Raw genomic sequence first — 15,658 nt, 5'->3', positions numbered from 1 at the left:
TTGAAGGAGAATGGATTATTAATGTTCATTACTGTTCTGATTAGGAGGCAGCCTTTTTCCCTTCCCAGATTAATGTTGGGCAACCCTTCAAATTGGCAGAGAGAAGGGTAACTCCACAACCTGTATGAACAGGGATGGCTTTGCTGCTGTGAAGAACATGTTGCTCTCACTTGCATTACTAGAAAAGAAAGGTGAGATCTGGTCTAAGAAGGGCTGAGGCAGAAATTTAAAAATAAATATGCATTAATTCACTCCGAGAAAAGTAACAGGCAAGGCAAGGGTTAAAAAGAAAAGAAGCAAGTTTTCCTCTGCTTAGCAGCTCACTTCAAGGACAGTTATAAGATAAGGCTGTCCGAAAAGCCAAGGCCAAAGGAATGGGCTCCAGACACCCACTCCTTCCTCCAGAGCAAGGTTGAAAGGAAAAAAAAGAAAGACAAATTCCTTTACTGTTACTCCTTTCCCTGGCTTCTTAAGCATAACTATGTTTTACAAATGTCTGTATTTAGCTAGTTCTTGTTTTTCTTTTGTCTCAGCTACAAGGCCACCAGCTATGCAAGGCCACAAGTTATGCACTATATGGTTAACTGCCTTTGTTTTGCTTTTGTAAGCCCGCTTATAAAAACCCCGCTCTGTCTTTGTTCAATGCTCAGCTTTTTGGATGTGAATCCACTGAGCCGGTGCATATCTTAAAATAAATATCCTCCTGTTCTGCCATATCGGTCTCTCCATTCCTCAGTTTACCTCAACGGGGCAACGTTAGGGAGAGTGTCCTAAGCAGAAGATCCAGGATCCAATTCTACCTCTGCCCTGGCAGGCTCCCGTGGGGCCTCAGCTTCCTCATCTGTAAAATGAGCACTAGAATGATCTGAGCCAGAAACTATGCAATGGGGAAGCTTAAAGACATTACGTTAAGTGAAATAAGCCAGTCAGAAAAGGACAAATACTGTATGATTCCATTTACATGAGCTACCTGGAGTAGTCGGATTCACAGAGATAGAAAGCAGAATGGTGTTGCCGGAGCTGGAGACTGTGGGGAATGGGGAGTTACTGTTTAATGGGTACAGAATATCCATTTTGGAGAATGAAAAAAGTTCTAAGATGGATGGTGGTGATGGCTGCACAGCAGCATGTATGTGCTTAGTGCCACTGAACTGTACCCTTAAAAATGGTTACAATGGTAAATTTTGTTATGTATATTTTACCACTATTTTTTTGAGACGGAGTTTCCCTCTTGTTGCCCAGGCTGGAGTGCAATGGTGTGATCTCGGCTCACCGCAACCTCCGCTTCCCAGGTTCAAGTGATTCTCCTGCCTCAGCCTCCTGAGTAGCTGGGATTACAGGCATGCACCACCATGCCCGGCTAATTTTGTATTTTTAATAGAGATGGGGTTTCTCCATGTTGGCCAGGCTGGTCTCAAACTCCCGACCTCAGGTGATCCGCCTGCCTCAGCCTCCCAAAGTGCTGGGATTATAGGCGTGAGCCACTGTGCCTGGCCTTTCACAATATATATTATAAAATAAACTAAGCAACTATCCACAACATTCACCCAAAGTATCAGGAGTCTCAAATTCAAGCACCCATGGGGGTCAGGCCATTTGTATGAGTGAGCCCACGGTCTTGCCTAGCGTACAGAGGAGGTAGTAGCTCCCAGCCCAGCCAAACCATCCATGCAGGAATGTGATCAGACTTTTCAAGAGGAAGGGAATATTCTGGATATTTATGTGAAATGTCTTAATTATTTAAATTGGCAACTAATTCAAAATTTTAAAAAGCAACAAACTGTGGGCAAACAAAATACATCTGCAGGTGAGATTCTGTTTTCTGCCTCTCTGTAGGTAACCAGTCTGTAGCATCTACTTTTTTTTCTTCTTTGTTTGCCAGCATTCCCACCCCCACATATCTCCCTTAATAACAGGTTCTGGCCAAGACAAACTATCTGGATAAGTCCATTGACCTTCTACATTGTGTACCTATGGGAGCCCAGCCAGAATATGCCAGCATAGGCAGGGTACACCCACCTATAGGCAGGTGCAATGGCATCAACACTGCCATCATTCTAGCAGAGCCTATCAGAGATCTGGGGTACACATGTGCATTTTCTAGCCCCAAACTCACTTTTACCTCAAGAATTCTACTAATTCTTATCATTATTTTCTTAGTTTTCTCAATGGAGACCTAGTGAAATAGTTCTCACCTCCTCTCCCATCACACTCTATGCCTTTGCTCTCTTAATTTCTGGTGTAAAACCAGCTTCCTTACTACATCTGATGTCCACACTCACTACCATATTCAGAAGTCAGATGAGGCCGGGTGCAGGCCTGTAATCTCAGCACTTTGGAAGGCAGAGGTAGGCGGATCACTTGAGGTCAGGAGTTTGAGACCAGCCTAGCCAACGTGGTGAAACTCCATCTCTACCAAAAAAACACAAAAATTAGCCAGGTGTGGTGGCACATGCCTGTAATCCCAGCTACTTGGGAGGCTGAGACAGAAGAATTGCTTGAACCCGGGAGGTAGAGGTTGCAGTGAGCTGAGATTGTGCCACTGCACTCCAGCCTGGGCAAAAGAGCAAGGTCCTGTATCAAAAAAAAAAAAGAAGTCAGATGATATCATGCATCTTTCTTGATTTTTGACAAGTGTGGAAAATACATCCCAATATGTAAGCTTCTAGAGTACAAGGGTTTTATACTTTATGGGAGTAGTAGCAGCCATGCAGATTCTAGAGGTCGCCTGTACTGTATTTCACTTATAAGCCTGATACTGCAACTTGGCAAAATAACATAGGCAGCATTCCACATTTGCTAGCAGCTTCATTTAAAGGTGGGACGTTGTTTGCAAAAGTAGGCCATTTGGAGAAGTGTGGGGAACATATCACTAATCATCTGCCAGTTCCATGCCTGCTTATACCAAATCTGGTAGCAAAAAGGAGAAACTTGAGCATTTCCTTAGGCTAGGCTTTCTACAATTAATTCTCAGTGACAGCGCAGATGTCTCTTGCTTGTAAGAAGCCATCAAAAGGTTCTTTTGGATGTGCTATGCTCTCCCTAAGTGGGGAAGCAGAAGTACTGCTTAGATAAACAGATCTGCATTCTCAGGAAATTCTGCTCTGCTGGCTATGGGAAGGCTGTAGGCTCTGTATTCAGTGAGTCTTTCTGCCCAACCACCCATGTGGTTCAGTGTGGCCCTATGCCCAGCAATGCCTCTTTCGATCAGCACTTTTCCCCAGACAACTACGGTTTACCTGTTTGAGAGCCATGACAATTTTTCTCCTGTTTATCATTCTGCTGGCAAGTATAGAGAGCCTACTATGTGCTGCGCACTGTGCTAGGAGATGGGATATAACAAGTAAGACACTCTCCCCTCCCTCAAGAAGCTTACCCAATAGTGGGGGAAGCAGAGCCATAAACAGATGATTAGAACCTGTCCTGAGTGTTTGGATGGATGCGGTTTTGGTGCTCTACCCAGATCCTCTTCCCTGGCTCAGCACACCCACCTCTGCAGCATGGGGGTTGGCTGCTAATGGCTCATGGGTGCCCCTCTCCTCCTGAGAGTTGTCCTCAGATGATGGGTGCTGCCTCTCCTCCTCCCTTATACCCACCCACTCCCTTATACCCTTTGGCAGCCCACAGCCAAAGGATGGACTGATGTGGCCTGGGCACAGTAGCTTATGCCTATGATCTCAGCAGTTTCAGAGGCCAAGGCAGGAGGATCACTTGAGGTCAGGACTTTGAGACTAGCCTGGGCAACCTAGGGAGACCTCATCTCTACAAAAAATAAACAAAATCAGCCAGGCGTCATGATGCACACCTGTAGTCCCAGCTCCTCGAGAGGCTGAGATGGGAGGATTGCTTGAGCCCGGGAAGTTGAGGCTGCAGTAAGCCAAGATTGTGCCACTGCCCTCCAGCCTGGGTGACAGAGTGAGACCCTGATTTTTAAAAGGGGGAGTATTGGCCGGGCGCAGTGGCTCATGTCTGTAATCCCAGCACTTTGGGAGGCCAAGGCGGGTGGATTATCTAAAGTCAGGAGTTCAAGATCAGCCTGGCCAACATGGTGAAACCCCATCTCTACCAAAAATACAAGAATTAGCTGGGCATGGTGGCAGATGCCTGTAATCCCAGCTACTCTGGTGGCTAAGGCAGGAAAATCACTTGAGCCCGGGAGGCGGAGGTTGCAGTGAGCAAAGATCGCACCATTGCACTCCAGGCTGGACAACAGAGCGAGACTCCATCTCCAATAAATAAATAAATAAATAAGTAAATAAATAAATAAGCATTAAGGTGGAGAGAGGATAATTCTGCAATATTATTTATGCTCCAGAAGACCCTACCCATCCACTGTGAATCAGGCCAGGGCTAGACTTTACCTGGGACCACAGGTCTGTTTGGCTGCTTCCCCTTTTGCGCTTTCAGACCCTTGTAGGTCTTTCCGGAGAGACTACTGCAATAAATCATATGCCTGGATCCCTGTCTGAGGCTCTGCTTCTACAAAACCCTACACATGACAGTGTTATGGGGGCAATATTTGGTGGAAATCTTCCTGAAATTTATACCTTTCTTTGAGGACATTGAATTAGATGATATTCCTACCAACTCTATTTTTTTTTTTTTTGAGACAAGTTCTCGCTCTGTCACCCAGGCTGGAGTGCAGTGGCACGATCATGGCTCACTGCAGCCTCGACCTCCCAGACTCAAGCAATCCACCCACCTCAGCTTCCTGGAGTAGCTAGGACTACAGACATGCACCAACACACCCAGCTAATTTTAAATTTTTTGTAGAGCTGGGTTCTCCCTGTGTTGCCCAGGCTGGTCATAAACCCCTGGCTTCAAGTGATCCTCCCTCCTTGGACTCCAAGTATTGGAATTACAGGCATGAATCACCTTGCCCAGTCCTTGCCAACTCTTAAGTGTTTTTGAAGTTATAGCCATGAGCATCATTTCAGGGATGGAGTGGAAAGGGAGATAGACCTGGGTTCGAATTCTGACCCCACACCTAGCAACTGAGGGCCCTGGCTGAGCTACAGGTCTTTCATCTGGAGTGGAGGAGCGACATCAATCTCATAGGGTGGTTGTGAGGACTAAAGGATATAGTCTATCCTGAAGCACTTAGTACAGCACCTAGCAACAACTCTTGCTGTAATTATTACAGATGTTATTTTACAACCATATTAAAATAGGGATGTCTTCAGGGGACTACAGAGACCTGTAAGACACTTGCCTCTACACTAGCCAGTGCCAGGCTGTTGTGTTTCTGAGTTGCTGGTTTTGTTTGTTTCTTCCCCTGCTTCCAGGCTGTCAGCCATCTCAAACGGTTTTTCCCTGCATGTGAATTTTCTGACTCTAATCTGCTATTGGTTGGAGAAATCCTCTAACCAGACTTAGGAGAATCGATTGGGTTTTTATTGTCATTATTGTCTCTTGGCCTAGTCTGACTTGTCATGTGGTAAATTGCAGATGTGTAGCTTTCAACTAGATTGTGAGCTCTTAGGGCATGAGGACGATGTCTTAATTATCTATCAGTCTGTTTAATGCCCAGCCCAGGGCCGGCAGATAATAGAGATCAATAAAGGATATTTGGGATACATTTAAAAATATAATTTTAATAAGAATTAAAATGAAATAAACCAGGTGCAGTGGCTCACGCCTGTAATCCCAGCACTTTGAGAGGCAGATGCCAGAGGATTGCATGAGCCCAGGAGTTTGAGACCAGCCTGGGCAACGTGGTGAGGTGAGACCCTATCTCTACCAACAAATGAAATAAAAGAATTAGCCGGTCATGGTGGCTTACGCCGGTAGACCCAGCTATTCACATGCCACTGAACTCCAGCCAAGGCGACACAGCGAGACCCTGCCCCTCGCCCCCTCCCCAAAAAAACAGAAAGAAATGTGAGAGACTCAAAATGAGGGCCTAAATGTTTGCTGCATGAGTCAAAGTTCATAAATTTTAGTTCTGGATGGTTGAGGCTTCTGGGTCAGTTATTTTGAGATTAAAAATAGGTATTAATACATATGTGGGGCCAGGTCTGGTGGCTCATGCCTGTAATCCCAGCACTTTGGGAGGCTGAGGCCGGTGGATCACCTGAGGTCAGGAGTTCAAGACCAGCCTGGCCAACATGGTAAAACCCCATCTCTACTAAAAATACAAAAAATTAGCTGGGCGTGGTGGCTTGTGCCTGTAGTCCCAGCTACTTGGGAGTCTGAGACACGAGAAGAACTTGAATCCGGGAGGCAGAGGTTGCAGTGAGCTGAGATTGCACCACTGCACTCTAGCCTGTGTGACAGAATGAGACTCCATTGCAAAACAACAACAACAACAAAATACGTGGATACTGAAAGGAAAAAGGGAGGATGGATTTTATATTTTGATTTATGTTAACATGAAGACTAAAACTCAGAATATTAAAATTCTTTTCTTTTCCATGATCCCCACAATGGGCAGAGTGTCTTAATACTGTGGTTTTTGCAAACAATAGAGAACCCCAGAGGAAAAGCCACGTGGGTGTTTGTCTCCTGCAGCTCCTAATCATACTCCCGTCATTCTCCTTTGATGTCTTTCTTGTCTATTTCCTGAAATGACACCGATTCTCCCAGCGTGTTTTGGAGCTTAGCCATCCCTTGCTCTTGGAGGACCAGACAGGAGCCAGAGGAAAGAGCACTAGGATGCTTAATCAGCTGTCTTTACTGTTCAGGCCACCAGGCAGAGGTGAGAGGAGAGCCGGTCCCTCTGAGATCAAATTCCAGAAACTGCTGCAGTGGTACATTTTGTTCACACAACAATTAAACTGGTTAAACAATCGCCTGACCCTGGGATTGCTGGCTTGGAGCCCCGGGTTTGGGTTTCTTATCTAACAGGAGCCTACAACAGGAGAGTCAGCTAGGATGCCTTAGGCCTGGTAAGGGGACATTTTCCTTCTTTATCTTAAAGGCCCAGCATCTCACTGGTGAATCTGATCTGGCCAAAGCTAAGTGGAATCAGGGCACTTCCTCGGAGTCCTTCACGATGCAGGTTTGGGCTAAAGGCTTGGAATCATTACTGCACAGATTCCCCTAAGTGAATGGTTCTCAACCTGGCTGCCCATCGGAATCTTCTGGGGACCCTTTAATGCTCTCCGATGCCCAGGCTGCAGCCCCGACCAATTACATCAGCATCTCTGGGAGAGAGACACAGGCATCAGTGTGCCTTCACGAAGACCACTTTAGAGAAGGTTAAACATTTTCAAATGAGTTTTGCTCAGACAAAAGGTGAGAGTATGACTAAGATTCTTCCTCATTGGCAAATCAGGCCAAGAATTACTGGGGCCTCGTGGTGTAGTAAAAGGAGAAGCTTCTATATGGAATCAGACTCAGGGGCCTCAGGGTCTGGTGCTGCCACTTAATACTTCTATGATTTTGGAAAACTACCTCTAGGCTTCCACTTTCTTATCTATATAAAATGGGGGGGGACCAGGCATGGCTCACACCTGTAATCCCAACATTTTGGGAGGCCAAGGCAGGAGGATCACTTGAGCCAAGAGTTCGAGGTCAGCCTGGGCAACATAGTAAGACCCTATCTCAAAAAAAAAAATTTTTTTTAACTAGCCGGGCATGATGATGCATGCCTGTAGTCCCAGCTACTGGGGAGGCTGAGGCAGGAGGATCACTTGAGCTCAGGAGGTCAAGCCTGCATGAACGGAGATCATGCCACTGCACTGCAGCCTGGGCAACAGAGTGAGACCCCATCTCAAAAACTAAATAAATAAAATGGGGATTAAAATATATCCCTTGCGGCCGGGCACGGTGGCTCATGCCTGTAATCTCAGCACTTTGGGACGCCGAGGTGGGTGGATCATGAGGTCAGGAATTCAAGACCAGCCTGGCCAAGATGGTGAAACCCCGGTCTCTACTAAAAATACAAAAATTAGCAGGGAATGGTGGCGGGTGCCTGTAATCCCAGCTACTCGGGAGGCTGAGGCAGAGAATTGCTTGAACTCAGGAGGCAGAGGTTACAGTGAGCTGAGATCATGCCACTGCAATCCAGCCTGGGTGACAGGCTTATCCCTTGCATAAGTTTTGGGCAGTAAATAATATATAGAAAACATCTTGTAGTAACTAGTGAAATAGGCCAGACATGTTGGCTCATGCCTTTAATCCCAGCACTTTGGAAGGCTAAGGCGGGTGGATCACTTGAGGTCAGGAGTTCGAAACCAGCATGACCAACATGGCGAAACCCTGTCTCTACTAAAAATACAAAAATTAGCCAGGTATAGTGGCTCATGCCTGTAATCCCAGCTACTCAGGAGGCTGAAGCAGGACAATCCCTTGAATCCAGGAAGCGGAGGTTGCAGTGAGCCGAGATCACACCATTGCACTCCAGCCTGGCCTTGGCAACAGAGTGAGTCTCCGTCTCAAAAAAAAAAGGGGACTAGTCAAATAATAATAATAATATGGGCCAAGTGCAGTGGTTCAAGTCTGTAATCCCAGCACTTTGGGAGGCTGAGGTGAGTAGATCACTTGAGGTCAGGAGTTCAAGACCAGCCTGGCCAACATAGTGAAACTGTGTCTCTATTAAAAATACAAAATTAACCTGGTGTGGTGGTGCACACTTGTAATCCCAGCTACTTGGGAGGCTGAGGCAGGAGAATCGCTTGAACCCAGGAGGCAGAGGTTGCAGTGAGCCGAGATTGCGCCATTGCACTCCAGCCTGGGCAACAAGAGCAAAACTCTGTCTCAAAAATTATAATAATAATAATAATATGCAGTTATTACCTCAGTAGTTATTATTAATGCAGGTGGTACTTTCTTATCGAGATTCGGGCTCCTTTGGTTGTTTATCTTCTCTTTACTTGTAAGCCTTTCTTCATTTAAGTTGGACAAGAGGATTAATAAAAGAAATTTAAACTGTGAAAGTTGCTACTTAAGATTTTTTTTACATTATTTTCCAATCAAACTAGTTAACAAATCTTTTCATATGTACACAGGCAGCTGTGCTTTCACAGTATAACTTGTTTGTGTAAATACAAGCATTTAATTTTTACAGTTCACATTTAGATGATGGAAAATAAACATGTGGAAGCTATGAAAATTATGACAGAACTTTTTCTTACTGCTCTGTTCCTGGTTATACCATCTTTTAGTCAATCACATATCTACCTAAGATATCTTCATAGAATTCCACTCAAAGGATGTGAAGATAATATAAATACCCCCTACTGAGTTTGGCTATCAAAGCCAGAATTGGTTTAACTCTGAGTGTCGTCTAGTTTTGGTTTTTAATTCTGAGGATTGTGTTTTGACAACTGAGAACTCTATTTTTTGGCTTTGAAATGATATGTGGGATTGCACAGCTGTTACTTCCCTAAATGTATACCTAGTCCCATGACGTTTTCAGGGAATACCCTTGTATAACTTAAGGTGCTAGAATTAAGGATGGTCTGTGGTCACACACTAAAGTTGCTAATCATCCAACCTTACTAGTATAAGTCACATTAATTAAAAGCTTATTATAGGCTGGGTGCGCTGGCTCACGCCTGTAATCTCAGCACTTTGGGAGGCTAAGGCGGGAGGATCACTGGAGCCCAGGAGATTGAGACCAGCCTAGGCAACATAAAAAAAATAATAATAAAGCTTATATGCCTGGAATTGTGCTAAGTATTTTACACACATTATTTCATTTAATCCTCTCAACAGTCCTGTGAAATAGGTACTATAATAATCCGATTTTACAGATGAAGAAACTGAGACTCAGAAAGTTGATTTATTCAGGGTCAAGCAGAGAACTAGGATATGAACCCATATCTATCTGATGCTCAAGGCTTTGCTCTTTAAAAAGAAACACAGCTTTGTCGAGAAATAATTCACACACCACACAATTCAGCCATTTAAAATGTACAATTCAATGGCTTTTGCCAAATGGATTTGTGCAACCCTCACCACAATCAATTTTAGAACATTTTATCAGCCCTAAAAGAAATCCTGTCAACTGATGAATAGATAAATAAAACATGGAATATTCATACAATGAAATATTGTTAGGCAAAAAAGAAAGTACTGATACATGCTACAACGTATCTATTTTTTCCTTTTGTTGCTTGCGCTTTCCTGTCATATCTAAGAAAACATTGCCTACTCCAAGGTCATTAAGATTTATGCTTATGTTTTCTCCGGAGAGTTGTATAGTTTTAGCTCTTACATTTAGGTCTTTGAAGCTCTTTCTCGAAACCACTATGCTTTACTGTTTTGTGTGTGCATAAAGACACAAATACAGTCATAACCCATGGATGAGAGAGAAGCATGAAACGCCTGAGTAATTGGCATTTGGGGTTATCTCTGGATTTTAATGATCTGTTTTTCTCCTGCTCCAACTATGCTTGTAATTAAGAGTCAAATCACTTGATCATGTCCTGAATATATTCTAAAATCTCGCTTTGCAAAAACATCTTACATTCCCATTTCCATGACCCTAATTTAGGTCCTCATCTTCTCACCAGTAGGCTATTTTGATAATCTTCTAAGTAGGCCAAGTTCTTCTCTGATGAAATGCACCTCCCTTTATTGAAATCAATTGCTTGTTAATTTATTCATAAGCTTCACTAAGAGAGGAACTATACATTTCTTTTTCACCATCATGCCCCTGGTGTTTAGCATTGTGTCTGGCACATAGTGGGTGCCCCACAAATAATCACAAAGGAAGACTATGTGATCTCCTTATCATGAAACTCTTCTCCTGGACTAAACACTGTTTATGCTGCTGCCAGATTAATATTCCAAACACTGCTCTGATCACTTCACTTCTTGGCTCAAAAACTTTCAAGGTCTCTCTACTGCCTTCTGAGAAGCGCCGCTCTTTTTTTTTTTTTTTTTTTAAGAGACATGGTCTCACTCTATCTCCCAGGTTAGAATGCAATGATGTGTGATCATAGCTCACTGCAGCCTTGAACTCCTGGGCTCAAGTGATCCTCTTGCCTCAGCCTCCTGAGCAGCTAGGACTACACGCACATTTAACTGTCCCTGGCTAATTTTTTTTGATAGAGATTGGGGGTGGGAGGTGTTGCAGGTGTCTCACTATGGTGCCCAGGCTTGTCTAAAACTCCTGGCTTCAAGCATTTTCCTGCCTCAGTCTCCCAAGAGCTGGGATTACAGGTGTCAACCACTGTGCCTAGTCCTCTGACATGACATCCAAGCAAGGGCTGCCATTCCCAGTTCCTTTCAGAACTCACAAGGCAACTTTGGAGTTGGGCAGGCTGCAGGAAACTCCAAGTATGAGAGTGGTCATTTGCTCTTGTCATGAGGTTGCCAGATTCAGGAAATAAAAATGTTGGGCCGGGCGTGGTGGCTCATGCTTGTAATCCCAGCACTTTGGAAGGCTGAGGTGGGAGGTTCAATCGAGTCCAGGAGTTCAAGACCAGCCTGGGCAACAAAGTGAGATCCCAACTCTACCAAAAACAAAGAGAAATTTCTAGGAATAATAGACGGGGTAAAAAATAGACAGTGGGTAAAAGATACTCACTTAAATCTTAATTTTAAACAACAAATCGTTTTTTGGGATATCCTAAATATTCAGATTTAACTGGGCATCCTCTGTTGTATCTGGTAGCCCTACAGTTAGTCTCAACCACATTCCAGTCTGCAACATCGATGCACTGTATCTTCTTGGAATGCCCCCGACTCATTTTGACCCAAATCTGACACCTCTTCAAAGGCCCTGCTCAAAGACCCTCTCTCCCACAAGGTCTTCTCTGGCATCCTCTGATAGTTATGATTACTTCTTCCTCTCCACTCCCAAAGCGCAAAGAGCAGACCCATTGTGTGTCCCGTAACACATGCTTCCTTCCACTCTGCAGAGGCTAGCCTTGTGTCTTAACCCTGCCTGAGCCTGGAAGCTTCCTGAGCACCAGACCAATGTGCTCTGCCAGCTCATGCTGCGTACTCAGGAGGTGCCATTAGCTGGTTGTTAAATGAATATGTAAGACTCGATTGTCCTAAATCAGAACTACTTTCTATTTTTATTTTCACAGTGGACTTTTCTCCCTAAAGTTCTAGGATCAGTGGGACATGGGCATCACAGGCAAATTACGTGGCTTCTAAGAGACTGAATCTGAAATCTTCTAATTTAGGAGAAAGGAAGGAAATGTGAATCTTTTTCTTCTCTGAACAAGGAAATAAGAATTTGTTAAAAAAAAAAAGATTGAGCATTGACAATTACTGATTACAAAATAAAATAATATTATAGTTTTAAATAAAAACATCTCCATGTGAACAAACTTCGCTTTGTATTTTAGTATCTGTTTGAGTAGGTTTGTACTGCAAAGCGGAAAAATGAAATCTCCCAGGCACCATTTGCCAAGGGATTTGCTCCCCTTCTTTGTCTGTTCAGATTAATCCGAGAGTGGCTGAGAGCTGCCCATTTTATCTCTGGGTTGAGGCAAAAGGGAGCAGTGTTTTCCAAAATAGCCCATGAGATGGCTGGACTCCCTCAGACAGGATTTGGGGGAGGACAAAGGAACCATGTGGGCATTTTATGTAGAGTATCTGGACCGGGTGCCCTGTCATTTGGAAGGCATCTGTTCCTGCCATTTGCACATCTTCCGGTAATCCTCCATTGATCGCCACCCCGCGTTCCTTCCTGCCCACTTGTGCCGGCCCTCCCCGCAGTGCCCTCTGACGTGAGGCCCTTCTTTCACTGCTCTAATTCAATGGCTTCTAATTGGATGCTCTGCCTGGCTAATGGCTTCTACCCAACTGCAGGGCTGACATTTACTTATTTGATTTCCACCCCTCCCTCTGCTCTCTGGCCTCCTTTGTGAGCAGAGCTTAAATTAGGCAGGATTTTAGATCCAGCACCTTTTTATATTTTGGTGTGGGCCTCTTGTTTTTTGAGCTGGGAGGGGTGGCTGAGTAGAGAAGAGCCTTGGAAATATACGCTGAGCTGATCAATCCTGAACCCTGCAGATAAACCCAGCTTTGTGACTTATCTGTGTCCCAGAATCCCAGCTGCCTCTGGGCTGCTTTCTTTGTTTGCATTTTAACCTGGACCCTAGCCTGCTAATTTCGGCTGGAACAAACTTTATTCTGTCACTGAATATCAGACCAATGCCAAAAGAGTCGTTGTTTGTTTTCATCACTGGAAAGGTTCTGGGCTAAATGTTAGACCTCTTCATCTCCAGGGTTTGACATTGAGAATTGTAATGTAGGGCTACAATCATCTTAGTGATTATCTTAGTTATCACAATCTGAACTCATCCTCCTTTCTTCCCTGTCCCTAGATATAAACATTTCTGGAGGGATGAGAGCCATGATCCTGAAAGGATTTCATCTTTGAAGCCTCTTCATCACCATCTTTGCATTTGCCTCTTTTTCTTTCTTTCTTTCTTTCTTTTTTTTTTTTTTTTTTTTGAGACAGAGTCTCACTCTGTTGCCCAGGCTGGAGTGCAGTGGCGCGATCTGGGCTCACTGCAAGCTCTGCCTCCCGGGTTCACGCCATTCTCCTGCCTCAGCCTCCCAAGCAGCTGGGACTACAGGCGCCCGCCACCAAGCCCAGCTAATTTTTTTTTTGTATCTTTAGTAGAGACGGAGTTTCACTGTGTTAGCCAGGATGGTCTCGATCTCCTGACCTCGTGATCTGCCCGCCTCGGCCTCCCAAAGTGCTGGGATTACAGGCTTGAGCCACCGCGCCTGGCCACATTTGCCTCTTTTTCAGTCTTGTAATCCCAAACAAAATAGAAGAGCCATCGCCCATCCATATTTGCTTAGAATGGATATTTACAAATTGAGTTTAAATTGTTCTCGGATGTGAAATATCTTATTTATTTATTTATAGACTTCACCCCATAGAACAAACAGAGACAAACAGCAAGCTTCCCTTTGGTTTGGGACCACTTGGCAGCATGACTCCAATCTCCACTATCACCCAAGCAGTTATGGTTCAGGCAAGCTGTCAGCTTGAGGTCTGTAGTCTATCTCCAGGGATTACTTTTACTTGATTCTTAATTACATACTATTCTCCATCCTCCCAGTCCCTTCACACACACACACACATACACACACAATTCCTCTTTAATTAGGTTGTAGCAGTCTCCTCCAGGTATATCTAACTCAGTTCATCATGGGCTGTTCTGATGGACAGCAGTCTGCCCTGGCCAACACTTCATTAGGTGTGACACCTTGCAGCCAATGGTCCCCAGGCCACCTTGTTCAGGAACCAAAGTGCAGCCCAGCAGGGCATCTGGGAGACAAAGGGATAGTTGTGGTGGAGAAGTAATAGTGATGAAAAGGCTTCCAGAACAGGAGTAGGAAGCACCCTGCAGTGCAGTTCACTTTCTTATACTAGGATATGAAATTAGGAGAGGGTTAAGAAAGGCAACTCATTTACCCAGGTATTGCCTTTGCAGGTGACAGATTGATATTCAAGACTCAGGAAATAGCCAGAATAACTGAGTCTCAACAGATAGCCCATTACCTACAAAATCAATATGGCCTCTTTCTTATGCAATGCTCCTTTTCACTTTTTTTTTTTTTTTTTTTGAGACAGGGTCTTACTCTGTCACCCAGACTGGAATGCAGTGGCATGATCTCAGTTCACTGCAGCCTCGACTTCCTCAGGCTCAAATGATCCTCCCACCTCAGCCTCCCAACTACCTGGGACCACAGGTAAACACCACCATACCCGGCTAAGTTTTGTATTTCCTGTAGAGGTGGGGTTTTGCCATGTTGCCCAGACTAGTCTCAAATGATCCTCCTACCTTGGCCTCCCAAAGTGCTGGGATTATGGGCATGAGCTACTGCACCCAGCAATTCTCTATTTTACTTCTTTCTTCTAACATTCACTTTCTCTTTCCTCTCTTCCTGAAAAGATGGCTAGGGAGGAAGAAGGGAATAAATATTTCCTATGTTCTAGACACTCATGGCTGCTTTACCTGGTGATATAAACCTATATTTTAAAAAGTTGAGGTATAAATTACACACAATAAAACCCACAGTTTGATGGTTTTTGACAAATGTATACACCCTTATAACCACCACTCCATCAGTTATAACGACATGATTCATCCTCACACTTAATCCATGAGAGATTGGTGTCACTGGCTCCATTTTATAGCTGAGGAAAGGGAGGATCAGAAAGATTAACAACAATAGCCATAACAATGGCAAATACTATGAGCCAGGTACTGTTCTAAGCACGTTACACATATTACCTCATTTAATCCTCTCTACAACCCCATTGGTCCCATTTTACAGACGAAGAAACTTGCCAAAGGTCACACAGCTAAAGAGTTAGAGCAGGATTTCTGGTGCTCAGATTACCTTATTTCCCTTACAGTACCTCCAGAGAATTTTTTTTAAGTTCCCTCATTAGATTTTCTTTTATCCCAGAGAGAAAAATCTCCCCAAACAAAACTAAAGGCCATCGGAAGGAAAGCCATATCGATGCTAGCCCCCACTCCATCCCCGGCTTTCTTTAAACTACGGGCAGTCAGATTTAACATCATGGATAGAAAGGTTGGTCTTGAAGAAAAGCCTTGTTTTGCTACCCATTAAACAGTGGGCTTTTCATCTAAGAAAGTCCTTCAAGCCTTCTGCCCAAGTAAAGTGATCAAATTCCCCTGAGGTTCAGCTTGACCTGGTAAAACACGTTGCTTTGTGGAACGAGTTTCGCTTTGCCAGCGGTGCTGAGCATTTCCTTGGGAAT

The 15,658-nt window shown here is 44.3% G+C and overlaps 1 annotated feature.

Moving 5' to 3' along the window:
* Window positions 258-552: a silencer, noted in NCBI's record as "tiled region #5187; HepG2 Repressive non-DNase unmatched - State 22:ReprW". NCBI's record gives its function as "represses a minimal TATA promoter and a strong SV40 promoter by Sharpr-MPRA in HepG2 cells {active_cell/tissue: HepG2}" and the evidence as "EXISTENCE:reporter gene assay evidence [ECO:0000049][PMID:27701403]".

Source organism: Homo sapiens, chromosome 1 (assembly GCF_000001405.40).
Source record: "Homo sapiens chromosome 1, GRCh38.p14 Primary Assembly".
Lineage (NCBI taxonomy): Eukaryota > Metazoa > Chordata > Mammalia > Primates > Hominidae > Homo > Homo sapiens.
This window is presented reverse-complemented; position numbering and strand designations above follow the sequence as displayed.